At 41.0% G+C, this 25,302-nt stretch overlaps 1 protein-coding gene across 12 annotated transcripts in view, besides 2 other annotated features; it reads left to right on the top strand.

Annotated features, from left to right (window-relative positions):
- Window positions 1–25,302, top strand: part of FLACC1 (flagellum associated containing coiled-coil domains 1) — a 76,019-nt gene that overhangs the window by 41,465 nt on the left and 9,252 nt on the right. For all 12 annotated transcript variants that reach the window (NR_110620.2, XM_024452696.2, XM_047443393.1 and 9 more), the window contains 3 exons: window positions 13,575–13,674; window positions 15,203–15,306; window positions 23,525–23,587. Coding sequence is in view for 11 of the 12 variants with exons in the window: in XM_024452696.2 (XP_024308464.1) it covers window positions 13,575–13,674; window positions 15,203–15,306; window positions 23,525–23,587 (267 nt within the window). In the remaining variant the exon portion in view is untranslated. The remainder of the gene's footprint in view (window positions 1–13,574; window positions 13,675–15,202; window positions 15,307–23,524; window positions 23,588–25,302) is intronic.
- Window positions 1,864–2,363: an enhancer, noted in NCBI's record as "H3K4me1 hESC enhancer chr2:202185185-202185684 (GRCh37/hg19 assembly coordinates)". NCBI's record gives its function as "activates a minimal SCP1, AML or CMV promoter by ChIP-STARR-seq in naive H9 embryonic stem cells {active_cell/tissue: H9 hESC(naive)}" and the evidence as "EXISTENCE:reporter gene assay evidence [ECO:0000049][PMID:30033119]".
- Window positions 2,364–2,865: an enhancer, noted in NCBI's record as "H3K4me1 hESC enhancer chr2:202184683-202185184 (GRCh37/hg19 assembly coordinates)". NCBI's record gives its function as "activates a minimal SCP1, AML or CMV promoter by ChIP-STARR-seq in naive H9 embryonic stem cells {active_cell/tissue: H9 hESC(naive)}" and the evidence as "EXISTENCE:reporter gene assay evidence [ECO:0000049][PMID:30033119]".

Raw genomic sequence — 25,302 nt, 5'->3', positions numbered from 1 at the left:
AGTTTTCATCTTTCTCTGAAATCTCCTTGAGTAGCTTAATAATTGACCTTCTGAATTCCTTATCTGGTATTTTAAAGAGTTCGTCCTACTTTGGATCCATTGCTGGAGAGCTAGTGTTATCTTTTGAGGGTGTTATAGAACCCTGTTTTTTCATATTACCAGAGTTCCTTTTCTGGTTCCTCCTCATTTGGGTAGATTATTTCTTCTAATTATCCTTGAATTGATGTTTGATTTGACTGTGTTTCTTTTTGTGTTTGTTTTTTAATTTCTTTTTTCCACTTAAGGATGTGACTTTAATGCTTATCATATTATGGCCTAATTTGGTTTTTGGTGCTTTCAGGGGTGAAGACTCTGTAATAGTTCCTTGGTTATAGAGAGTTTTTTTATGTGGCTTTCTTAGATGCTGGTTGTAGTAGCAATGTGCTTGGTATATTAGCAAGATCACTGTCTCCTATGGGGCTGTAATGATAAGAGGTCTCTTAAAGCTTATCTCATTCCCCTGTGGCATGCCCTTTTTTATTTACGCATTTTCGTCCAGTTTTTTTTTTCTTTTTTTTTTTTGAGGCTGAATCTCACTCTGTTGCCCAGGCTGGAGTGCAGTGTCATGATCTCACTGCAATCTCCGCCTCCTGGGTTCAAGTGATTCTTGTGCCTCAGCCTCCCAAGTAGCTGGGATTACAGGTGCCTGCCACCACACCCAACTAATTTTTGTATTTTTAGTAGAGACAGGGTTTCACCATATTGGCCGGGCTGGTCTCGAACCCCTGACCTCAAGTGATCCACCCGCCTCAGCCTCCCAAAGTTTTGGGATTACAGGCATGAGCCACTGCACCCGGCCTTTTCTCCAGTGTTTTATTTACTAGTTTGATGGTTCCAGCTTCAGGCCAGTAGGGGAGGTGTCCCTGGGTAGGAATCAGCTGTGGCTAAAGCAGGTGGGTAAATGCAATACCCAGTGATGGGCAGAGGTCTCAGCCTTGACAGAGGTGGCTGGAGGAGTGAGTTGCAATGAGGTCTTACCTGGGGTAAGGGTTGGAGCCACCTCAGCTCCCCTGCCAGGTTAGCAGGAAAGTTATCCCTCTCAAACACACTCCTGTTTCAGTGCTCCAGCTTTTCATCTCCAGACAGCCACCTCTTTTCATCTGCAGGAATTTTGATGTTCCAAATAGAGAAAAATTGTGAACGTCTCTCATACAAGCTTGAACCTAGAGGGTGCCCCTCCTATGGGGATGCAGTCACCCTGATGTCTTCCAGAAAGACTGTCTATAGTTGCACTCACACCAAGCTCCAATGGGAGAAGCTCCAACTGTGCCTGCAGTGGTAGACAATGGGTGGGGGGGTTGTCTGTCTGTTGGGTTAGAGCTGAAGACTTTTCCTGCTGAGCCCAGCACTGCAACTGTGCCTCTGCTGAAAGAAACTTCCCACTAGCAGAAAGATCTGGTTCTTAAGTCCTGCTGTCTGGATTATTTTCTCCCACAGGGTGTTCTCTTGATGTGGTGCACTCCCTGTTCCCCTAGGATCAGGGGGATCCCACTCCTAAGGGAACAGGGTCTCTGGGTCTAGCTGTCCAGTGAAGGTACCACACCCCAGGCTGGTGCTAGGGAATATCTGCAAGGGATCCAGTGATGTGACCTCTCTTCAAGTCTCCCAACAGTGGGTAGCAGCACCAGTTCTAATGGGCGTGGCAGGGTAATAGACTCTGTGAGAGTCCTTGGTTATTGATAGCCTTAGTGTGTTGGCTTTCTCGAACACTGGTTTTAGTAGTAATGAACTGGTCATGTGGACAAACTCAGGACCTCCTGGTTAGCCAGAATGGTGCAGGCAGTGGTGATAGCTGAGATTACACAGCCATCTTCTTCCTAGGTGCGTTGTTATTCTACCAGGAGATGCTGTAATGGACTGTGTTGGTTGGCCTCCAGCCAAGAGGTGATGCTTACAAAAGGGAACCAGCTGCAATAGTAGCAATAGGACTTTTGCTTGCTTTATGTTGTCCAGAGGGGTTACTCTGGTTTCTCAGGCAATGAGTGGGGCTATATAGCCCCCAAGAGTTTCTGTCCTTTGTGTTAAACTACCAGGGCAGGTGACGGGGCAAAGCAGGGTGAGGGTTGGTTCAGGTGGGCTTGCGCTCTGAGTCTCCCTGTGCAGGGCAAGCAGCAGCCCCTGTGGAAGCCAGGGGATGGGAGTGGTTCTCAGGCCACTGGGTTGATGTTCCAAAAGGCAGTGTTGCTGGCTTTGCCACACAGAAGGGTTTGTGCAGAGTGAGGAGAAGCAGGTGGCTGTGAGCCCCACACAGATCCCATGCACTTGGCAAGACAGATGCACTCCCACAGTGTTCCACTGGCAGCAGCAAGCTAAGTTCCAGTTAGCCTGCACTCAGAACTTGCAACTGTCCCGAGTCATATACGTTCCCTGCAGAGATAGCAATCACGGCTTTCAGGCCAAGCCCCTCCCTGTCCACTGCAAAGCCAGGCACCCAGTTCCTGCACTGGCAGCTCCTGCACTCATGGCTGCAGCCCACTTTTCACTCTCCTCCACCCTGGCCCTGGCCAAGGGAGTTCATCCGCACCTAAGGTTATATCATGAAACCCAGTTGGAGGCTTCTTTCAACCTGCGACCACTGCCTGAACTTTTTGGCTGTCCTCCACAGGGTTCCCCGTGAGGAACAGTAAGAAATGGCTTCCCTCTCTCCATGCTGAAATCTGGGAGTGTGTGCAAGAATCTTCCTGCCACTGCTCCCACTTTTATATTCCACATCCCTCCCCAAGTCAGTTCCTGTGCTGCATAGGGTTAGGGCTTTCTCCCATGGTCTGGACTTTCAGGGTCCACAGTGGGGGTGTGTATTCCAGGAGTAATGTAGGGTGAGTCCCCCTTCTCACACTCTGGGAACTCACAGCCCTTTGCCTGATTCACAGTGTAACCTGCAGCCTCCTGCTTCCTTCAAAGGGTCTGTAGATTCCTTTGGTTTTCCTGTTCAGTTTCTGCATTGCTCCTTGAAAAAAGTTCAGTGTGAATCTCTACAACTATTTTGTTTTTCCAAGTGGGAGAAGTATGCTAGCAATGCCTCTAATCTGCCATTTTGGAAAAACACAAACAAACTTCTGTCTTCTTTTGAGAAGTGTCTGTTCATGTCTTTTGCCCACTTTTTAATGGGGTTGTTTTTTGCTTGTTCAATTGTTTAAGTTACTTATAGATTCTGGATATTAGATATTTGTCAGATGCGTAGTTTGTGAATATTTTCTCTTTTTTTGTAGGTTGCCTGTTTACTTTGTTGACGGGTTTTTTTGCTGTGCAGAAGCTCTTTAGTTTAATTAGGTCCCACTTGTCAATTTTTGTTTTTGTTGCAGTTGCTTTTGAGGACTTAGTCATAAATTCTTTCCCAAGGCCAGTGTTCAGAATGGTGTTTCCTAGGTTTTCTTCTAGGATTCTTAGAGTTTGAGTTCTTATGTTTAAATCTTTAAGGCATCTTGGGTTGATTTTTGTATATGGTGAAAGGTAGGGGCCCAGTTTTATTTTTCTGCATATGGCTAGCCAGCTATCCCAGCATCATTTATTGAATAGGGAACTCCTTCCCCACCACTTGTTTTTGTCTACTTTGTTGAAGATCAGATGGATGTAGGTGTGCAGCTTTATTTCTGAGTTTGCTATTCTGTTCCATTGATCTATGTGTCTGTTTTTGTATCAGTACCAAGCTGTTTTGGTTACTGTAGCCTTATATTTTTTTAAATTTTTTTATTTCTATGGGTTATTAGGAAACAGGAGGTGTTTGGTTACATGAGTAAGTACTTTAGTGGTGATTTGTGAGATTTTGGTGTGCCCATCACCCGAGCAGTATACACTGCACTCAATTTGTAGTCTTTTATCCCTCACCCCCTTCCCACTCTTTCCCCCTGAGTCCCCAAAATCCATTGTGTTATTCTTATGCCTTTGCATCCTCATAGCTTAGCTTCCACTTATGAGTGAGAACATACGATGTTTGGTTTTCCATTCCTGAGTTACTTCACTTAGAATAAGTCTCCAATCTCATCCAAGTTGTGTTGATGCCATTAATTCATTACTTTTTATGACTGAGTAGTATTCTATCATATATATATGGAATTTCTGAATCAAATGGTAGTTCTACTTTTAGTTCTTTAAAGAATCTCTATGCTGTTTTCCATAGCAGTTGTACTAGTTTACATTCCCACCAGCAGTGTAGAAGTGTTCTCTGTTCACCACATCCATGCCAACATGTATTTTTTTTTTATTTTTTGATTATGGCCATTCTTGTAGGAGTAAGGTGGTATCTCATTGTGGTTTTGATTTGCATTTCCCTGATCATTAGTGATGTTGAGCACTTTTTCATATGTTTGTTGGCCATTTGTATATCTTCTTTTGAGAATTGTCTATTCATGTCCTTAGCCCACTTTTTGATGGGTTATTTGTTTTTTCTTGCTAATTTGTTTTAGTTTGTTGTAGATTCTGGATATTAGTCCTTTGTCAGATGTATAGATTGTGAAGATTTTCTCCCACTCTGTGGGTTGTCTGTTTGCTCTGATGACTGTTCTTTTTGCCATGCAAAAGCTCTTTAGTTTAATTAAGTCCCAGCCATTTATCTTTGTTTTTATTACATTTGCTTTTGTGTTCTTGGTAATGAAATCCTTGCCTAAGCCAATGTCTAGAAGGGTTTTTCTGATGTTATCTTCTAGAATTTTTATATTTTCAGGTCTTAGATTTAAGTCCTTGATCCATCTTGAGTTTATTTTTGTGTAAGATGAGAGATGAGGATCCAGTTTCATTCTCCTACATGTGGCTAGCCAATTATCCCAGCACCATTTGTTGAATAAGATGTGCTTTCCCCACTTTATATTTGTGTTTGCTTAGTCAAAGATCAGTTGGCTGTAAGTATTTGGGTTTATTTCTGAGTTCACTGTTCTGTTCCATTGGTCTATGTGCCTATATTTATACCAGTACCATGGTGTTTTGGTGACTATGGCCATATAATATAGTTTGAAATCAGGTAATGTGATGCCTCCAGATTTGTTAGGTTTTTTGCTTTTTGATTTTTTGTTTGCTTGTTTTGCTTTGTTTTGTTTTGCTTAGTCTTGCTTTGGCTATGTGGGTTCTTTTTTGGTTCCATATGGATTTAAGGAGTTTTTTTTCTAGTTCTGTGAAAAACGATGGTGGTATTTTGATGGGAATTGCATTAAATTTGTAGATTGCTTTTGGCAGTATGATCTTTTTCACAATATTGATTCTACCCATCAGTGAGCATGGGATGTGTTTCCATTTGTTTGTGTCATCTATGATTTCTTTAGCAGTGTTTTATAGTTTTCCTTGTACAGGTCTTACAACTCCTTGGTTAGGTATAGTCCAAACATTTTATTTTTCTTTTGCAGCTATTGTAAAAGGGGTTGAGTTCTTGATTTGATTTTCACCTTAGTCGCTGTCAGTGTATAGCAGAGCTACTGATTTGTGCACATTAATTTTGTATCTGGAAACTTTACTGAATTCTTTTATCAGTTCTAGGAGCTTTTTGGAGGAATCTTTAGGGTTTTGTAGGTATACAATTATATCATCAGCAAACAGCAATAGTTTGACTTCCTCTTTACTGATTTGGGTGCCCTTTATTTCTCTCTCTTGTCTGATTGCTCTGGCTAGGACTTCCAGTACTATGTTGAAGAGGAGTGGTGAGAGTGGGCATCCTTGTCATGTTCCAGTCCTCAGTGGGAATGCTTCCAACTTTTCCCCATTCAGTATGATTTTGGCTGTGGGTTTGTCATAGATGGCTTTTATTACATTGAGGTATGGCCCTTGTATGCTAGTTTTGCTGAGAGTTTTAATCATAAAGCATGCTGGATTTTGTCAAATGCTTTTTCCGCATCTATTGAAATGATCATGTGATTTTTATTTTTAATTCTTTTTATGTTGTGTATCACATTTATTGACTTGAGTATGTTAAGCCTATATCCCTGGTATGAAACCCACTTGATTATGGTGGATTATCTTTTTGATATGTTGTTGGATTCAGTTAGCCAGTATTTTGTTAAGGATTTTTGCATCTATGTTCATCAAGGATATTGGTCTGTAGTTTTCTTTTTTGGTTATGTCTTTTCCTGTTTTTAGTATTAGGGTGATACTGGCTTCATACAATGATTTAGGGAGGATTCCCTCTTTATCTTGTGGAATAGTGTTAATAGGATTGGTACCAATCCTTCTTTGAATGTCTGGTAGAGTTCTGCTGTGAATCCATCTAGTCCTGGACTTTTTTGTGTAGGTAATTTTTTAATTATCATTCCAATCTCACTGCTTGTTATTGGTCTGTTCGGGGTATCTAATTCTTCCTGATTTAAGCTAGGAGGGTTGTATCTTTCCAGGAATTTATCTGTCTCCTCTAGGTTTTCTAGTTTATGCACGTAAAGGTGTTCACAGTAGCCTTGAATGATCTCTTGTATTTCTGTGGTGTCAGTTGTAATATCTCCCTTTTCATTTCTAATTAAGCTTATTTGGATTTTCTCTCTTCTTGGTTAATCTTGCTAATGATCTATCAATTTTATTTATCTTTTCAAAGAACCAGCTTTTTGTTTCATTTATCTTTTGTATTTTTTGTTTGTTTGTTTGTTTGATTTCATTCAGTTCTGCTCTGATCTTGGTTATTTCCTTTCTTCTGCTGGGTTTGTGTTTGGTTTGTTCTTGTTTCTCTAGTTCCTTGAGGTGTGACCTTATATTGTCTGTTTTTGCTCTTTCAGACTTTTTTATATAAGTGTTTAGGGCTTTTAGCTTTCCTCTTTGCACTGCCTTTGCTGTATCCCAGAGGTTTTGATAGGTTTTATGTCACTGTTGTCATTCAGTTTGAAGAATTTTTTTAAATTTCCATCTTGATTTCATTGTTGACTCAATAATCATTCAGGAACAGGTTATTTAATTTCCATGTATTTGCATGGTTTTGAACATTCCTTTTGGAGTTGATTTCCAGTTTTATTCCACTGTGGTCTGAGAGAATGCTTGATATAATTTCAATTTTAAATTTATTGAGGCTTGTTTTGTGGCCTATCATATGGTCTATCTGGGAGAAAGTTCCATATGCTGTTGAATAAATGTATATTCTGGGGTTGTTGGATAGAATGTTCTGTAAATATCTCTTAAGTCCATTTGTTCCAGGGTATATTTTAAATCTATTGTTTCTTTGTTAACTTTCTGTCTTCTTGACCTGTCTAGTGCTGTCAGTGGAGTAATGAAGTCCGCCACTATCATTGTGTTGCTGTCTATCTCATTTTTTAGGTCTAGGAGTAATTGTTTTATAAATTTGGGAGCTCCAGTGTTAGGTGCATATATATTTAGGATTGTGATATTTTCCTGTTGGAGAAGGCCTTTTACCATTATATAATGTCCCTCTTTGTCTTTTTTAACTGCTGTTGCTTTAAAGTTTGTCTTGTCTGATGTAAGAATAGCTACTCCTGCTAGCTTTTGGTGTCCATTTGCATGGAATGTCTTTTTCCACCCCTTTCCTTAAGTTTATGAGTTCTTATGTGTTAGGTGAGTCAACTGAAGGCAGCAGATAGTTGATTGGTGAATTCTTACCCATTCAGCAATTCTGTATCTTTTAAGTAGAGCATTTAGGCCATTTATATTCAATGTTAGTATTGAGATGTGAGGTACCATTCCATTCATTGTGCTATTTGTTTCCTGTATGCCTTGGGTTTTTTTGTTTTTGTTTTTGTTTTTGCTTTTTTTTGTATTATAGGTCCTGTGAGATTTATGCTTTAAAGAGGTTCTGTTTTGATGTGTTTCCAGGATTTGTTTCAAGATTTAGAGCTCCTTTTAGCAGTTTTTGTAGTGCTGCCTTGGTAGTGGCAAGTTCTTTTAGCATTTGTTTGCCTGAAAAAGACTGTATCTTTCCTTCATTTATGAAGCTTGGTTTTGCTTGGTACAAAATTCTTGGCTGATAATTGTTTTGTTTAAGGAGGCTGAAGATAGGGCCCTAATCCTTTCTTGCTTGTAAGGTTTCTGCTGAGAAATCTGCTGTTAGTCTGATAGGTTTTCCTTTACAGGTTACCTGGTGCTTTTGCCTCACAGCTCTTAAGATTCTTTCCTTCATCTTAACTTTAGATAACCTGATGACAATGTGCCTAGGCTATGATCTTTTTGTGATAAATTTCTCAAGTGTTCTTTGAGCTTCTTGTATTTGGATATCTAGGTCTCTAGCAAGGGTGGGGAAGTTTCCCTCAATTATTGCACAAATGTGTTTCCAAACTTTTAGATTTCTCTTCTTCCTCAGGAACACCAATTATTTTTACATTTGGTTGTTTAACATCCCAGACTCCTTGGAGGCTTTGTTCATATTTTCTTATTCTTTTTTCTTTGTCTTTGTTGGATTGGGTTAATTCAAAAACCTTGTCTTCAGGCTCTGAGTTCTTTCTTGTGCTTGCTCAATTCTATTGCTGAGACGTACCAGAGCATTTTGCATTTCTATAAGTGTGTCCATTGTTTCCTGAAGTTTTGTTTTTTATTTATGTTATTTCATTGAAGATTTCTCCCCTCATTTCTTGTATCATTTTTTTTTAAATTTCCTTAAATTGGGCTTTGCCTTTCTCTGTTGCTTCCTTGATGAGTTCTTTGTCAGGTAGATCAGGGGTTTCTTCTTGGTTTAGATCCACATCTGGTAAGCTAGTGTGATTTTGTGGGGGATGTTAAAGAACCTTGTTTTTTCATATTACCAGAGTTGGTTTTCTTGTTCCTTCTCATTTGGGTAGGTTCTGTCAGAGGGAAGATCTAGGGCTCAAGGCTGTTGTTCAGATTCTTTTGTCCTATGGCGTGTTCTCTTGATGTAGTACTCTCCCCCTTTTCCTAGGGATGTGCCTTCCTGAGAGCCCAAGCTGTAGTGATTGTTATCTCTTTTTAGGATCTAGACATCCAGCAGTCCTACCAGGTTCCAGGCTGGTATTGGGGGTTGTCTGCACAGAGTCCTGTGATGTGAACCATCTGTGGGTCTCTCAGCTGTGGATACCAGTACCTGCTCTGGTAGAGGTAGCAGGGGAGTGAGATGGACTCTGTGAGGGTCCTTAGTTTTGGTCATTTAATGCACTATTTTTGTGCTGGTTGGCCTCCTGCCAGGAGATGATGCTTTCAAGACAGCATCAGCTGTGGTAGTATGGGGAGGATCAGGCGGTGGGTGGGGCCCTAGAACTCCCAAGAGTATATGCCCTTTGTCTTCAGCTACCAGGGTGAGTAGGAAAGGACCATCAGGTTGGGGCAGGGCTAGGCGTGTCTGAGCTCAGACTCTTCTTGGGCGAGTCTTGCTGCAGCTGCTGTGGGGATGGAGGTGTGGTTCCCAGGTAAATGGAATTATGTTCCCAGGAGGATTATGGCTACTTCTGCTGTGTCGTGCAGGTTGTCAGGGAAGTAGGGGTAAACTGGCAGTCACAGACCTCACCCAGCTCCCACGAAACCCAGAAGATCAATCTCACTCCCACCATGCCCCCAACCCAGTAGTACCAAGTCTGTTTCCAGGCAGTGGGCAAACAGGACTGAGAACTTGCCCCAGGCTACCAGCCTCCCAGCTGCAAAAGCAAGTAGTGCTTTTGTGCTTCCCTGCCTGTGGAGTCTGCACACCAGATTCATGCCTTCCCCCAAGTTCTGGCCAGGAGATTTCCTATTCAGTTGGAATTGTTAGAAAATTCAGCTGGAGTTTTCCTTCTCCCTGTGATGTTTTCTGAGTTCCTCTGGCAGTCCTCCCCAGGTAGCCCTGTGAGACAAGTCAGAAATGGCATCCCTGGGAACCCAGAGAGCCCACAGGGCTTTTCCTGCTACTTCCTTTACCCCTATATTTCACTTGGTTCTCTAAATTGACTCAGCTCCAGGTAAGGTCAGAATCTTCTCCCATGATCTAGACCTTCAGGTTCCCCAGTGAGGTTGTGTGTTTGAAGGTGGACAATCCCCCTTTCCTACTTCCACAGTTTGGGCACTCACAGTATTTGGGGCATCTCCCGGGTCCTACGGGAGCAATCCACTTCCTTCAGAGGGTCTGTGGATTCTCTTGGCTTTCCTGAATTATTCCTGCAGTAGTTCTGGAGCAAAAGTTCACGATGCAAGACTCCACATGCTGCTCTGTCCATCCGAGTGGGAGCTGCAGTCTAGTCCTGCTTCCCGTCCACCATCTCTGTAGCCTTATATTAGTAGTATATTTTGAAGTCAGGTAATGAGATGCCTCCAGCTTTGTTCTTTTTGCTTAGGATTGCTTTGGCTATTTAGACTCTTTTTTGGTTCCATATGAATTTTACAATAATTTTTTTCTAATTCTGTGAAAAATGATGTTGGTAGTTTGACAGGAATAGCATTTAATCTCTTAATTGCTTTAAGTAGTGTGGCCATCTTAATGATATTGACTCTTCTAATCCATGAGCATGGAATGTTTTTCCATTTGTTTGTGTTGTCTCTGATTTCTTTCAGCAGCAATTTATAGTTCTCCTTTTACCTCCTTGGTTAGCTATATTTTTAGGGATTTTATTCTTTTTGTGTCTATAGTGAATGGGATTACGTTATTGATTTGGCTCTCACCTTGGACATTATTGGTGTATAGAAATGCTACTTATTTTTTGTACATTGATTTTGTATCCTGAAACTTTACTGAACTTGTTTATCAGTTCCAGGAGCCTTTTGGCAGATTCTTTAAAGTTTTCTAGGTATGCAATTATGTTATCAGTGAACAGAAAAATTTGACTTCTTCTTTTCCTATTTGGATGCCTTTTATTTCTTTCTCTTGCCTAATGGCTCTGGCTAGTACTTCCAGTGCTATGTTGAATAAGAGAGGTGAGAGTGGGCATCCTTGTCTTGTGCTAGTTCTCAAGGGTAATGCTTCCAGCTTTTGCCCATTCAGTAGGATTTTGGCTGTGGGTTTGTCATAGATGGCTCTTATTATTTTGAAGTAAGTTCCTTTGATAACCTAATTTGCTGAGAGTTTTTATCATGAAGGGATGTTGGATTTTATCAAAGGCTTTTTCCATGTCTATTGAGATGATCATATGGGTTTTCTTTCTAATTCTGTTTATGTGGTGAATCACATTTATGGATTCACGTATGTTGAACCAACCTTGCATTGTGAGAATGAAGCCTACTTGATCATGGTGAATTAACTTTTTTTTTTTTTTTTTTGAGTCAGTGTCTCATTCTGTCACCTGGGCTGGAGTGCAGCAGCACAATCACAGCTCATTGAAGCCTCAACCTCCTGGGCTGGAGTGATCCTCACACCTCAGCCTCCTAAATAGCTGGGACCACTACACCTAGCTAATTTTTTATTTTTTCTGTAGATGTGGGGTCTCATATCATGTTGCTTAAACTCCTGGGCTCAAGCAATTCTCCTGACTCAACCTCCCATAGTGCTGGGATAACAGGTATGAGCCACCGTGCCTGGCCATGAATTAACTTTTTCATGTGTAGCTGGATTCAATTTGCAAGTATTTTGTTGAGCATTTTTTTCAGTCTATGTTCATAGGGATATTGGCCTGTAGTTTCTTTTTTGTCTTTGCCAGGTTTTGGTATAAGGATAATGCCAGCTTCATAGAATAAGTTAGGGAGGAGTCCCTCCTCCTCATTTTTTTGGAATAGTTTCAGTAGAATTGGTACCAGTTCTTCTCTGTACTTTTGGTAGAATTTGGCTGTGAATCTTTCTGGTCCCAGGATTTTTTTTTTTTTTTAGTGTTAGATTATTTTATTACTGAATCAATTTCAAAACTCAATATTGTCTATTTGGGGTTTCAATTGCTTCTTGATTCAATCTTTGGAGGTTGTGTTTCCAGGAATTTATCCATTTCCTCTAGATTTTCTTGTTTGTATGCATACAGATGTTCATAATGATCTCTGAGGTTCTTTTATATTTCTGTGGGATTAGTTGTAATGTCACCTTTGTCCTTTCTAAATGTGCTTATTTGGATCGTCGTTTTTTTCTTTGCTAATGTAGCTAGCACTCTATCGGTCTTGCATTTCCTTTCAAAGATCCAACTTTTTGTTTCATTGATTCTTTGTATGGGTTTTTGAATTTTGATTCCATTCAGTTCTGTTCTGATTTTAGTTATTTCTTTTCTTCTCCTAGCTTTGGGGTTAGTTCTTGTTTTGGAATGAACATTTTTAAGGCCTTTAATATATATGGCCAAATTGCCATCCAAAAAGAATGTATCACTCTGCACTGCCACAAGCAAAGCATGGAGTGCTCCCGTCATCTCAGAATAAAACCCATCCATTTAATCAGCTCATTTGATGAAGGCCCAGGAAAACAAAGTTAGGGCATGATTCTTACTAGGTAGATGAAGAGAGTTAAGAGATGGCTAGTGGGGCGGGAAAGGACTGAAGCCTCAAGCCTTCATCCTGTTTAATTGTGAAGTATAGTGACCAACTAGTTCTAGTTGGCCTGAGACTTTCCAGGTTTTAGCACTGAGAGTCCAGAGTCCCAGGAAACCCCTAAGTGTCAGGCAGACAAGGACACTTGGTCGCTCTATCAAAAGTTAAACACCAGTACCACCTCTAAAGTTCTATTTACCACTTACAATTTCAGTTTTGAGCCTGTGTCTAAAACTCATTTTTTTAAGATACTCCTTGGTATATTCAGGGAAAACATCATAGAACAGAGCCTAAGACGTGTGAGTGGTAAATAGAATAGGTCGGGTGTGAATCCTTCTGCTAACCTGAAAAATAAGGCAGTCAGCGTCCTTGGACCCTACTAGTGTCATCCAGGTCCAGGGCCTTCCCCCTCCTAGGATTCCATGTTCATGAAATCTGAGCCAAGCAACAGTATTGGTATTAGATTAGGCTTATTTAACCTCAACCACAAAAGAAAGTTAGATTTGCTGAGAAAAAGTGGACATTCTCTGAAAAACATCCCCTTATTTTCTAAGTGTTCAAATTAACTACTAGGTATTTCCTTTCTTCTTCTTTTTTTTTTTTTTTTTTTTTTGAGACAGAGTCTCACTCTGTCACCAGGCTGGAGTGCAGTGGCGTGATCTCGGCTCACTGCAACCTCTGCCTTCTAGGTTCAAGCGAGTCTCCTGCCTCAGCCTCCCAAGTAGCTGGGACTACAGGTGTGTGCCACCACGCCCAGCTAATTTTTGTATTTTTAGTAGAGATGGGGTTTCACCATGTTGGCCAGGATGGTCTTGACCTCTTGACCTTGTGATCTGCCTGCCTCCACCTCCCAAAGTGCTGGGATTACAGGTGTGAGCCACTGCGCCCGGCCTCCTTTCTTCTTGTGCTATTGAAGAGGGATTTGTGATTTAGGGGGAGCTAACATATGATCCTTCAACATGGAGAACTCTACCTTTCTTCAAAGGAAGCTCAGTTCTAGTGGGGCAAACACTGTGCATAGTTTGCCCTTGACCTTTGGGTTCCATAAGCTCTCTGTTGGGCTGGGCTGGAATTTACTTCTCACCAGTCACCCATGGAGGACCCACTCAGTGAGGGCCCCAGGTAAGGGAAGATGCACAGAACATGGTGATGGGCCCTGGCCACTGTGCAATGCCAAGAGGAGTCCTCCCTGAGTTGAGTTTTACAGCCTCTCCAGGTCACCTTCATTTTAGGACTCTTTTCTTCATGGTGCCTTTGTACCTCCCCAGGACAGTATTTATGATGAAATGGAAGAGAAGTGGTCAAAACAGAAGGCGAAATGGAAGAAGGATGAGAAGTTCGAGCGAGAAAATATCCTGCTACAGCAAAGTGAGTACAGAAACTCTAGCTTTTTTGATGACAAGTGCATTAAAAAACTGCCATGAAGTTTGGTCTTGACTTGAGGAAGGTGGCCTTGGGCTTACCAAGGGTGATGGGCCACATGCTAGATACCTGAATGGAAGGTGCCCAGAGTTTTCATGAAAGCAAAATGACAACAAGGGTAGGGTCTTTTTTGAAGTTCAGGCATCTGATCTAAGAGAGTCTAAGCCTGTACCTTCTGAAACTCATTTGGTCCAAGTTTGCCCATGATGGCTGGAACAAATGTTAGAATCCCTGTAGGGAGTGCAGACTTATTATCTAGAAACAGATGAACCCAAAGTTCCAAGAGTTCTTTAGTTAGAATGTGAAATGTTCACTTGCATGTGGGCAGGGGGCAGATAGGAACAACACAATCCATTATACTGAGAGCTTCTATATTCCCACGTCTTCCAGAAGGAAGTCACACTTGGTAAATATTTTTAATATTTCCAACAATTAACACAGAGCTTGCACCATACAAAGTATTCTATAGGTGCACCTCCCACCCCCATTGGACTTGTTCATAAAAGGAAAAAAGAAGAGAATTTGTAGAGACTACTCCAGGCCTAGAAGACTAGTTGAGGTAGGAGTGGGACCTCTACAGACCTATTCCGCATTCCACGCCAACCACATTTATTTCAGATTTAGTTGATTTTAACAAATTACTCATTTAAATGCAGATACTCCATGGGAAAATTAATTCACATTCTGGTGGGCACTCTGGACTGCCAGAAGGTAATATGAAGACCCCGGAGTTAAGGCTGGGGAACGGGAGGGGGAGCTGCTCCTGTCTGGGGCTTTACCTAGAATTCTAGTGCAATAGAACCCAAGTCATATCCCAGATTCTAGCTACTCATACGACTCTCATCCCATGTTGCTAAAGTCTAAGTAAAGATGTAACCGCCAGTTTTGGAAGACCAGAATTCAGCTGCTCACCATCCAGCTCAGTCAGAGGCTTACGCTGTCAGACCAGAGACTCCCTGTCCATCCCCAGAATTGCAACACTGAAATCTGTGTTTCCCTCCACCCCTCCTTCCTCTTGTTTGATAATGGGGCTCTACTGGCAGGTTTCCTGCCCAGGAAAAGAGCTGAAGCCTACCTCTACCCCAGCACTAAGTACAGGATGAATTTTATTGCTGGCAAAGTAATGTTAGCCAAGAGCTTTATTTTAAGATAAGGATATCCATGATAGCATAGTGGTTACATCAGCAGAGGGAATGGACAAAATAAAAAGCAACAGATTCAAAATAAACTACACACAAAAGAACCAGAGATGTTGGTGGTAAATCCCATATGACTAATGTGATTGAGGACAACCACCGTGCTCACCTCACCCTCAAGCACCTTCAGGTGAGTGTCAGAGGCCAAACACCAGGCTGCAATGACCTTGAGTCTGACACAGTCTGGAATTGCTTTTATCTTTAGATATTCTGGGTTTCTCATTGCACCTGCTTTTCCCATCTTTACACATATATGTGCTTTCCTGTCACTTCCACAGAAAAAAAGATGACCAAAAAATTCGAAATGGAGTCAGGAGAAGAAGATAAGAAAATAAATGAATCCTGCAGTGCTGTCTTTGAGAACTTCATTCAAGAGAAGGAGGTAACTCAGCCCAAAGCACCTTGGTGATTGAATGGGTAGTCCAGGTGGTACACCCAAGTCCCCAGGTGTGCCTCCATAATTAGGTGATCTTTTTGTCTTTCTGGGCATAATCCTCCTCTCCCAGCTTTCTGGAAATGTATGCAAATAGACTGACAGTCTTGCTGTCCTTTAGCTGGGCAATCTTCCCACAGGCTAGACAGTCTTATCAAAGGGTTCTTAGAACAAAAATTTTAATTAACTGGAAATAACAGAATGCTAAACATGCAGAAACTGAAATTCCTTATTTTGCCAAAATCCCATCTCTGAATATCCTTTTCATTCCTCACTGTAGCTGTTATAGCTGTAGTGCTATTACTGGGCGCTAGGGCAGGTACAGGTTTAACTTTATGGGAACTTGCCAAAACTTATTTTCCAAAGTAGTTGTACCATTTTTTTCTTGCATCTTAGATATATTGGAATTCTAGTTGCTGTATATCCTCCACAACAATTAGTTTTGCTAGTCCTTTAATTTTGGCCATTCCAGTGGGCATGAAGTGGTACTTCATTATGGTTTTAGTTTCCCTGATGACTAATTATGTTGGGCATTTTCTCATATGCTTATTGGTCCATTCATATATGTTCTTCCATAAAGTGCCTGTTCAAGTCTTTTCCCATTTGAAAAAGTAGGAGGTGCTTACATTTTTATTTTTGATATGTAGGAGTACTTTTATATTGTGGATACAAGTTTTTTTTGCCAGATATACATGTTGTAAATATTGTCTGTCAGCCTGTGGTTTGCCTCTTCATTTTATTAATGATATATTTCGATATACAGAAGCTTTAAATTTTGATGAAAGGCAATGATCATTTTTTTACTTTTATGGTTACAGATTTTTGTGTCCTCTCTATAAAATCATTGCCTATTCCAAGGTCATGAAGATATTCTATTTTTTAGAAGCTTTAAAATTTTAGCTTCTATGATTCTCTGATCTATTTTGAATAATTTTTGTGTATGAAGTGAAGTGTAAGAGTCATGGGTCATTTTTGTCTTATGGATATTCAGTTGTCCCAGCATCATTCTTTAAAAATACTTTCCTTTCCCCATTGAGTTGCCTTAGTGTTTGATACAGTTTAGATTTGTGTCCCTGCCCAAATCTCATGTCAAATTGTAATCTCCAATGTTGGAGAAGGGGGTCTGGTGGGAGGTGATTGGATGATGGGGACAGATTCTCCCCCTTTCTGTTCTCGTGATAGTGAGTGAGCTCTCAAAAGATCAGGTTGTAGCACCTCCCCCTTCTCTCTCTTTCTTTTGTTCCAGCTATGTAAGACAGGCCTCCTTCCTCTTTACCTTCTGCCATGATTGTAAGTTTCCTGAGGCCTCCCCAGCCATGCTTGCAGAAATGTGAGCCAATTAAACCTCTTTTCTTTCTTTTTTTTTTTATTCTTTTTTTAATTTATTATACTTTAAGTTCCAGGGTACATGTGCACAACGTGCCAGTGTGTTAAATATGTATACATGTGCCATGTTGGTGTGCTGCACCCATTAACTCATCATTTACATTAAGTATATCTCCTAATGCTATCCTTCCCCCCTCCCCCCACCCCACAACTGGCCCTGGTGTGTGGTGTTCCCCAACCTGTGTCCAAGTGTTCTCATTGTTCATTTCCTACCTACGAATGAGAACACACGGTGTTTGGTTTTCTGTCCTTGCAATAGTTTGCTCAGAATGTTGGTTTCCAACTTCATCCATGTCCCTACAAAGGACATGAGCTCATCCATTATTATGGCTGCATAGTATTCCATGGTGTATATGTGCCACATTTTCTTAATCCAGTCTATCATTGATGGACATTTTGGTTGGTTCCAAGTCTTTGCTATTGTGAATAGTGCCACAATAAACATACGTGTGCATGTGTCTTTATAGCAGCATGATTTATAATCCTTTGGGTATATACCCAGTAATGGGATGGCTGTGTCAAATGGGATTTCTAGTTCTAGACCCTTGAGGAATCGCCACACTGTCTTCCACAATGGTTGAACTAGTTTACAGTCCCACCAACAGTGTAAAAGTGTTCCTATTTCTCCACATCCTCTCCAGCACCTGTTGTTTCCTGACTTTTTAATGATCGCCATTCTAACTGGTGTGAGATGGCATCTCATTGTCGTTTTGATTTGCATTTCTCTGATGGCCAGTGATGATGAACATTTTTTCGTGTGTCTGTTGGCTGCATAAATGTCTTCTTTTGAGAAGTGTCTGTTCATATCCTTCGCCCACTTGTTGATGGGGTTGTTTGATTTTTTCTTGTAAATTTGTTTAAGTTCTTAGTAGATTGTGGATATTAGCCCTTTGTCAGATGGGTAGATTGCAAAAATTTTCTCCCATTCTGTAGGTTGCATGTTCACTCTGATGGTAGTTTCTTTCGCTGTGCAGAAGCTCTTTAGATTATTTAGATCCCATTTGTCAATTTTGGCTTTTGTTGCCATTGCTTTTGGTGTTTTAGACATGAAGTCCTTGCCCATGCCTATGTCCTGAATGGTATTGCCTAGGTTTCCCTCTAGGGTTTTTATGGTTTTAGGTCTGACATTTAAGTCTTTAATCCATCTTGAATTAATTTTTGTATAAGATGTAAGGAAGGGATCCAGTTTCAGCTTTCTACATATGGCTAGCCAGTTTTCCAAGCACCATTTATTAAATAGGGAGTACTTTCCCCATTTCTTGTTTTTGTCAGGTTTGTCAAAGATCAGATTGTTGTAGATGCGTGGTATTATTTTTGAGGGCTCTGTTCTGTTCCATTGGTCTATATCTATGTTTTGGTACCAGTACCATGCTGTTTTGGTTACTGTAGCCTTGTAGTATAGTTTGAAGTCAGGTAGTGTGATGCCTCCAGCTTTGTTCTTTTGGCTTAGGATTGTCTTGGCAATACAGGCTCTTTTATGGTTCCAAATGAACCATAAAAGTAGTTTTTTCCAATTCTATGAAGAAAGTCATTGGTAGCTTAATGGGGATGGCATTGAATCTGTAAATTACCTTGGGCAGTATGGCCATTTTCACGATATTGATTCTTCCTATCCATGAGCATGGAATGTTCTTCCATTTGTTTGCATCCTCTTTTATTTCGTTGAGCAGTGATTTGTAGTTCTCCTTGAAGAGGTCCTTCACATCCCTTGTAAGTTGGATTCCTAGGTATTTTATTCTCTTTGAAGCAATTGTGAATGGGAGTTCACTCATGATTTGGCTCTCTGTTTGTCTGTTATTGGTGTATAGGAATGCTTGTGATTTTTGCACATTGATTTTGTATCCTGAGACTTTGCTGAAGTTGCTTATCAGCTTAAGGAGATTTTGGGCAGAGATGATGGGGTTTTCTAGATATACAATTCATGTCATCTGCAAACAGGGACAATTTGACTTCCTCTTTTCCTAATTGAATACCCTTTATTTCCTTCTCCTGCCTCATTGCCCTGGCCAGAACTTCCAACACTATGTTGAATAGGAGTGGTGAGAGAAGGCATCCATGTCTTTTGCCAGTTTTCAAAGGGAATGCTTCCAGTTTTTGCCCATTCAGTATGATATTGGCTGTGGGTTTGTCATAGGTAGCTCTTATTATTTTGAGATACGTCCCATCAATACCTAATTTATTGAGAGTTTTTAGCATGAATGGTTTTCGAATTTTGTTGAAGGCCTTTTCTGCATCTATTGAGATAATCATGTGGTTTTTGTCTTTGGTACTGTTGATATGATGGATTACGTTTATTGATTTGCGTATGTTGAACCAGCCTTGCATCCCAGGGATGAAGCCCACTTGATCATGGTGGATAAGCTCTTTGATGTGATCCTGGATTCAGTTTGCCAGTATTTTATTGAGGATTTTTGCATCGATGTTCATCAGGGATATTGGTCTAAAATTCTCTTTTTTTGTTGTGTCTCTGCCAGGCTTTGGTATCAGGATGATGCTGGCCTCATAAAATGAGTTAGGGAAGATTCCCTCTTTTTCTATTGATTGCAATAGTTTCAAAGGAATGGTACCAGCTCCTCCTTGTACCTCTGGTAGAATTCGGCTGTGAATCCGTCTGGTGCTGGACTTTTTTTGGTTGGTAGGCTTTTAATTATTGCCTCAATTTCAGAGCCTGTTATTGGTCTATTCACGGATTCAACTTCTTCCTGGTTAAGTCTTGGGAGGGTGTATGTGTCCAGGAATTTATCCATTTCTTCTAGATTTTCTAGTTTATTTGCATAGAGTTGTTTATAGTATTCTCTGATGGTAGTTTGTATCTCTGTGGGATCGGTGGTGATATCCCCTTTATCATTTTTTATTGCGTCTATTTGATTCTTCTCTCTTTTCTTCTTTATTAGTCTTGCTAGCGGTCTATCAATTTTGTTGATCTTTTCAAAAAACCAGCTCCTGGATTCATTGATTTTTTGAAGGGTTTTTGTGTCTCTATCTCCTTCAGTTCTGCTCTGATCTTAGTTATTTCTTGCCTTCTGCTAGCTTTTGAATGTGTTTGCCCTTGCTTGTCTAGTTCTTTTAATTGTGATGTTAGGGTGTCAATTTTAGATCTTTCCTGCTTTCCCTTGTGGGCATTTAGTGCTATAAATTTCCCTCTACACACTGCTTTAAATGTGTCCCAGAGAGTCTGGTATGTTGTGTCTTTGTTCTCATTGGTTTCGAAGAACATCTTTATTTCTGCCTTCATTTTGTTATGTACCCAGTAGTCATTCAGGAGCAGGTTTTTCAGTTTCCATGTAGTTGTGCTGTTTTGAGTGAGTTCTTAATCCTGAGTTCTAGTTTGATTGCACTGTGGTCTGAGAGACGGTTTGTTGTGATTTCTGTTCTTTTACATTTGCTGAGGAGTGCTTTACTTCCAACTATGTGGTCAATTTTGGAATACGTGTGATGTGGTGCTGAGAAGAATGTATATTCTGTTGATTTGGGGTGGAGAGTTCTGTAGATGTCTATTAGGTCCACTTGGTGCAGAGCTGAGTTCAATTCCTGGATATCCTTGTTAACTTTCTGTCTCGTGGAACTGTCTAATGTTGACAGTGGGGTATTAAAGTCTCCCATTATTATTGTGTGGGAATCTAAGTTTCTTTGTAGGTCTCTAAGGACTTACTTTATGAATCTGGCTGCTCCTGTATTGGGTGCATATGTATTTAGGATAGTTAGCTCTTCTTGTTGAATTGATCCCTTTACCATTATATAATGGCCTTCTTTGTCTCTTTTGATCTTTGCTGGTTTAAAGTCTGTTTTATCAGAGACTAGGATTGCAACCCCTGCCTTTTTTTGTTTTCCATTTTTTTGTTAGATCTTACTCCATCCTTTTATTTTGAGCCTCTGTGTGTCTCTGCACGTGAGATGGGTCTCCTGCATACAGCACACTGGTGGGTCTTGACTATCCAATTTGCCAGTCTGTGTCTTTTAATTGGAGCATTTAGCCCATTTACATTTAAGGTTAATATTGTTATGTGTGAATTTGATCCTCTCGATATGATGTTACCTGGTTATCTGTTCATTAGTTGATGCAGTTTCTTCCTGGCATTGATGGACTTTACAATTTGGCATGTTTTTGCAGTGGCTGGTACCGGTTGTTCCTTTCCATGTTTAGTGCTTCCTTCAGGAGCTCTTGAAAGACAGGCCTGGTGGTGACAAAATCTCTCAGAATTTGCTTCTCTGTAAAGGATTTTATGTCTCCTTCACTTATGAAGCTTAGTTTAGCTGGATATGAAATCCTGGGTTGAAAATTCTTTTCTTTAAGAATGTTGAATATTGGCCCCCACTCTCTTCTGGCTTGTAGATAGAGTTTCTGCCGAGAGATCCACTGTTAGTCTGATGGGCTTCCCTTTGTGGGTAACCCAACCTTTCTCTCTGGCTGCCCTTAACATTTTTTCCTTCATTTCAACTTTGGTGAATCTGACAATTATGTGTCTTGGAGTTGCTCTTCTCGAGGAGTATCTTTGTGGCATTCTCTGTATTTCCTGAATTTGAATGTTGGCCTGCCTTGCTAGGTTGGGGAAGTTCTCCTGGATAATATCCTGCAGAGTGTTTTCCAACTTGGTTCCATTCTCCCTGTCACTTTCAGGTACACCAATCAGACGTAGATTTGGTCTTTTCACATAGTCCCATATTTCTTGGAGGCTTTGTTCATTTCTTTTTACTCTTTTTTCTCTAAACTTCTCTTCTTGCTTCATTTCATTCATTTGATCTTCAATCACTGATACCCTTTCTTCCACTTGATCGAATCAGCTACTGAAGCTTGTGCGTGCATCACATAGTTCTTGTGCCATGATTTTCAGCTCCATCAGGTCATTTAAGGACTTCTCTACACTGTTTTTTCTAGTTAGTCATTCATCCAATCTTTTTTCAAGGTTTTTAGCTTGTTTGTGATGGGTTCGAACATCCTCCTTTAACTTGGAGAAGCTTGTTATTACTGATCATCTGAAGCCTTCTTCTCTCAACTCGTCAATTCATTCTCTGTCCAGCTTTGTTCCATTGCTGGTGAGGAGCTGCATTCCTTTGGAGGAGAAGAGTCGCTCTGATTTTTAAAATTTTCAGCTATTCTGCTCTGGTTTCCCCCCATCTTTGTGGTTTTATCTACCTTTGGTGTTTGATGATGGTGATGTACAGATGAGGTTTTGGTGTGGATGTCCTTTCTGTTTGTTAGTTTTCCTTCTAACAGTCAGGACCCTCAGCTGCAGGTCTGTTGGAGTTTGCTGGAGGTCCACTCCAGACCCTGTTTGCCTGGGTATCACCAGGAGAGGCTGTAGAACTGCAGATACTGCAGAACAGCAAATGTTGCTGCCTGATCGTTTCTCTGAAAGCTTCATCTCAGAGGGGCACCCAGCTGTATGAGTTGTCAGTTGGCCCCTACTGGGCGGTGCCTCCCAGTTAGGCTTCTCGGGGGTCAGGGACCCACTTGAGGAGGCAGTCTGTCCATTCTCAGATCTCAGACTCCATGCTGGCAGAACCACTACTCTCTTCAAAGCTGTCAGACAGGGATGTTTAAGTCTGCAGAAGTTTCTGCTGCCTTTTGTTGAGCTATGCCCTGCCCCCAGAAGTGGAATCTACAGAGGCAGGCAGGCCTCCTTGAGCTGTGGTGGGCTCCACCCAATTCGAGCTTTCCAGCCGCTTTGTTTACCTACTCAAGCTTCAGCAATAGCAGGCGCCCATCCCCCAGCCTCACTGCTGCCTTGCCATTCAATCTCAGACTGCTGTGCTAGCAGTGAGCAAAGCTCCGTGGGCGTGGGACCCTCCCAGCCATGCATGGGATATAATCTCCTGGTGTGCCATTTGCTAAGACTGTTGGAAAAGCACAGTATTAGGGTGGGAGTGACCCGATTTTCCAGGTGCCGTCTGTCACGGCTTCCCTTGGCTAGGAAAGGGAATTATCTGACCCCTCGCGCTTCCCAGGTGAGGCGGTGCCCCACCCTGTTTCGGCTCCCGGTCCGTGGCCTGCACCCACTGTCCTGCACCCACTGTCTGACAAGCCCCAGTGAGATGAACCTGGTACCTCAGTTGGAAATGCAGAAATCACCTGTCTTCTGCATCACTCATGCTGGGAGCTATAGACTGGAGGTGTTCCTATTTGGCCATCTTGGAAACTCCCCCTAAACCTCTTTTCTTTATAAATTACCCAGTCTCTCAGGTAGTTCTTCATAGAAATGTGAGATCAGACTAATATAGTGTCTTTGCTGTATTTGGGGTGTTAGGACTCTCCGTTCTGTTTGACTATTTTTCCATACTTAGGTCAACAACACATTGTCTTGACTACTGAAGTTTGAAATCGGGTAGCAAAGGTTATCTAGCTTTGCTATTGTTTTTCAAGATTATTTTGCCTTTCCACATGCTTTGTATTTTTACATAAATGTTAGAACTAGCTTGTCAATTTAGAATTAGCTTATCAAGGAAGTTTGCTGATATTTTGACTGGGATTTCATTGAATATAAAGATCAATCTGTGGCGAGATTAATTCTTAAGAGTATTGAATCTATCCACTGACTTAAGAAAAGCTTTTGATGAAAATATAATTTCTTTTAATATTTGTCAGTGAGATAAGGTTGAACATAATTAAGATTTTCATTAACTTCAACAAGTCATGTCACTAGTTTATAATGTGTGCTTCATTATAGCAGTGTCTAAGCTTTGGTGAATATTATATTCCTGAATCCTAGTCTGGCTTTCTTAACTCCCTAGAAGATGTGCCAGAACCACAGTGCTAACCTTTTCCCAATAAAATTGTTTTTAGGAGCTCTTGAAACAACATCAAAGTGACACCTTGCAATTAGAAGAGCTGAGAAAAACCAAAGAGGTAAGCTTTTTCATCCTTTCCTGTGGACTTGGTATATTACAAATACACCAATAAAATAACAAGCTGTCAGTATAATGGAATCAATGATAATTTCCCCAAAGCCAATAAGAAATGGAAGACCTAAAGCTGAGTTTACTGGATTCAATAAGTTAAAAAGAATTTTTGAAATTATCTGTAAAATAAAGCCAGTGGGTCTTTTTAAAGTCTGATTTGAACAAATAGATCAGCAATATACTATGTGATCTTCAATGTTGAATGACTTTCATTTCTAGCAAGGTTCAAACCACAAATGATCTTTCAGTTATAAAACACCAAGTTCTTCCCTTTGAGCTCTGAAAAGTATAAAACTGTCTCCTTTGAAACTCTGTCACCAAGCCCCTCCTTAAGCTCTGAATGTACCTCACACATGATAACTTCCTCAGGGACTCTATTCTGGGGCAAATTATGGCAGTCTGTGGGAGACAACTGAAGAGGAGCCGTTCAAATCCACAAGGTGATGTGTGATTCTTCCATCACTGAAAATTTGACTTGGATCCAGAATGGACACGTTTGAGAAAACATTAGTCATTATAAAGGCATTGTAAATGAATTCTATCTTAGAGCCCAGGCAGGGCTTCAGCATTATGGAAAGGCAAACAGACTGTGGTGTCCTACAAGTTCAAGAAATGGGCTTTGGAGGAAGATATACCCAGTGTATTATAATAACTATTTTCATGAGCTTGTCTACGAATTCTGTCATTTGTGTCATGTCTGGGCCTGTTTCTCTTCATTGATTTTTCTCCTCATTTATGGTCATATTTCCTTGTTTGCATGCCTGGTAAGTTTGGCTTGGATGTCAGTCATTTTGGTGTTTACCTTGTTGGGTGCTGAATATTTTTATATTCCTTTAGATATTCTTAAGCTTTGCCCTGGGATGCAGTTAAGTTGCCTGGAAACAGTTTGATCCTTTCAAGCCTTGCTTTTTAAGCTTCGTTGGGCAGAACTAAAGCAGTCTTTAGTGTGGAACTAATTTTCCCCACTATTGAGGTAATACCCTCTGAGTACTTGACACCACACCCTCTGTATGAGAAGGATTTTCTACTCTGCCTGGTGGGACCATGAACTATTCCCAGCCTTGTGTTGGCCCTGGGGATTGTTCCACCTGCTCCTTGCTGATGTTTCCTTCCTCTAACCTTGTCTCTTTCTATTTCTTCCCTACATCACTCCACCCCAGAGGCACTTGCCTCCTTGCTGTTCCCTTAACAGGCCAGGATGTTCCTACCTGGGGGTCTTTGATGTTCTCTCTTCCTGAAAAGCTCTTTCCCGGATATCCACATGACTAACTTCCTTTCCTCCTCCTGTTCTTTATTCAAATGCCACCTTCTCAGAAGGTGCCCGATTTAAGGGCTCCGCTCCCTGCCCAACACTTGCTTTTCTCCAAATGGGATGCCACTGGAGGTTTTTGAGGAGAGAGTATCATTTGGGAAAATAACTGTGGCAGCAATGTGAAGGAGAATCTGAAGAGGCAAAATGATGGGAGGCAGAACCTATTAGAAGGGTCACCTCCCCTTTACACCTCAACCTGACTTCTGCTCCAATCCCAGCCATGGAAACTGTTCTTGTTAAAATCACAAGTAAATTCCGAGTTGCCAAATCCAAGGAATGCTTCACCTCACTGGACATGAGCAGTATCAGGTGCGATTGATCATTCTCTCCTTGCAACATTCACCTGTCTT

This window comes from Homo sapiens, chromosome 2 (assembly GCF_000001405.40).
Source record: "Homo sapiens chromosome 2, GRCh38.p14 Primary Assembly".
NCBI lineage: Eukaryota > Metazoa > Chordata > Mammalia > Primates > Hominidae > Homo > Homo sapiens.
The sequence above is the reverse complement of the archived record's forward strand: the minus strand, read 5'-3'. Positions and strand labels throughout refer to the sequence as shown.